The 1615-nt window shown below is 55.5% G+C and overlaps 1 pseudogene across 1 annotated transcript; it reads right to left on the bottom strand.

The window, feature by feature from the left end:
- Positions 1 to 503: 503 nt before the first annotated feature.
- Positions 504 to 1243, bottom strand: UBE2DNL (ubiquitin conjugating enzyme E2 D N-terminal like (pseudogene); annotated as a pseudogene). The gene has a single exon (NR_024062.1). The product of NR_024062.1 is annotated as a ubiquitin conjugating enzyme E2 D N-terminal like (pseudogene) (transcript).
- Positions 1244 to 1615: the final 372 nt, after the last annotated feature.

Raw genomic sequence — 1615 nt, 5'->3', positions numbered from 1 at the left:
ATTAGCAGGGCCTGGTGGCTCACGCCTGTAATCCCAGCTACTCGGGAGGCTGAGGCAGGAGAATCGTTTGATCCCGGGAGGTGGAGGTTGCAGTGAGCCAAGATCATGCCATTGCACTCCAGCCTGGGCTACAGGGCGAGACTCCAGTCTCAAATAAATAAATACATAAATAAATAAAATTCCCACTAGTCAGTGGAACTGTTCTCAATCTTAAAGCCACCACCCCCTTGTTCTTGCTTTGTTTCACAATCCTAAATCAACAAATAAATCTTTTTGTCAAAACTAAATGAAAACTGACCTGTTTGTCTTACACTCCCCACACACCCTCACTTCCCACTCGGCCACACCCTCCACCAACCGTGCAGGCCCCTGTCCCCAACCCCCAGAACCTCACCACTTCTATGGCCTCCACTCATTGCCTGCTAAGAAAAGCGCGTAAGGCGTGCCCAGAAGAATGAGGAGACTACCCTTCATAGAAAGTAATCAAAACATAACCAATTAAGTGAACTGCCACTTTCTGCATCTTTATTATTAAGGCGATGGAATTATATTTTGAAATTACATGGTACACTACTGAGTCCAGTCTTTAGCTATTCTGCCATACTCCCTCCTGTCGCGTATTTCCGTTAACGTTGATGGTAAATTCCGTTGGTAAATTTGATCTTGGGTGGTTTGAATAGGTAGTCGGAGGGAAACTTTAGGAAGAAGACCCCTCCCAGGTAGGAGCTGTCGTTGGGCCTCGTTATGGTGGCCTGCCAGTGGAGCATATCGTCCCACACTGGCCCTGCTGAGCAGTGGGGCTGGGGGTCGCGGGCCAGTTCGAGGAACTCCTTGTGGATGAGCTTTAGGGCCATAGTCCGCAACCCTTGGCGGCCAGTCCTCGGCACCGGGCCCGGAGCCTGGTAGAGGGCAGAGGTGGCGATCCCTGGGTGGGATGGGCAGCAAGGGTATGCCTCGGCAGATGAAGGGGCTGAGGGCAAGCTCCGGGGTCGGCGGGGGCGTCGGGGGAATCGGACGGTGGCGTAGAGGGGGACTGACCACGATAAGCGCCGGACGCTCCACCACACGCGATGGCCTGCAGGATGCCTGTAGCGTATGGTGACCGAGGCCGCGCTGTCCGGCGTTGGAGATTTTGTGGTTTGGAGCGGCCGCTCCTCTTGCTGGGGGCAGCCTGCCCCAGCGGCTAGCCCCGACTGCCCACATCGGGGCGCTGGACACCCGCGCTGATCTGCTCTGTGAGATCAGAGGCCACTGGGGCCTCTAGCCACCCCCACGCCCTGTGACGTTGACTGACGCGCTGCGCAGCGTTGCCAAGGTCCGGGGCCATGGGAGCGGGGTGGGGCTGGAAAGGAAGGTGAAAGGTTGGGGGGAAGGGGCGGGGCAGGATGTTCTGACTCCGTGCCTGTGCCTGGGCCGGCAAGTAGGACCCCAGGCACTGCCCTTCGCCCAGAGTGACCTCAAGAAATAGCAGTTCAATGAATGCCTCTCTGCCCCTTACCCACAGTCAACTTCCCTTCACAGTTTACCTCAGAGGCCTTCTCCTCCCCTCCCCTTCTCTCACCACTTGTGTATTTCCAGAGACATTCTCTTGTATAAATAAGTTTAGTAGATTTAC

This window comes from Homo sapiens, chromosome X (genome assembly GCF_000001405.40).
Source record: "Homo sapiens chromosome X, GRCh38.p14 Primary Assembly".
Lineage (NCBI taxonomy): Eukaryota > Metazoa > Chordata > Mammalia > Primates > Hominidae > Homo > Homo sapiens.
Note: the sequence above shows the minus strand (reverse complement) of the source record. Positions and strands in the feature narration are given on the sequence as shown.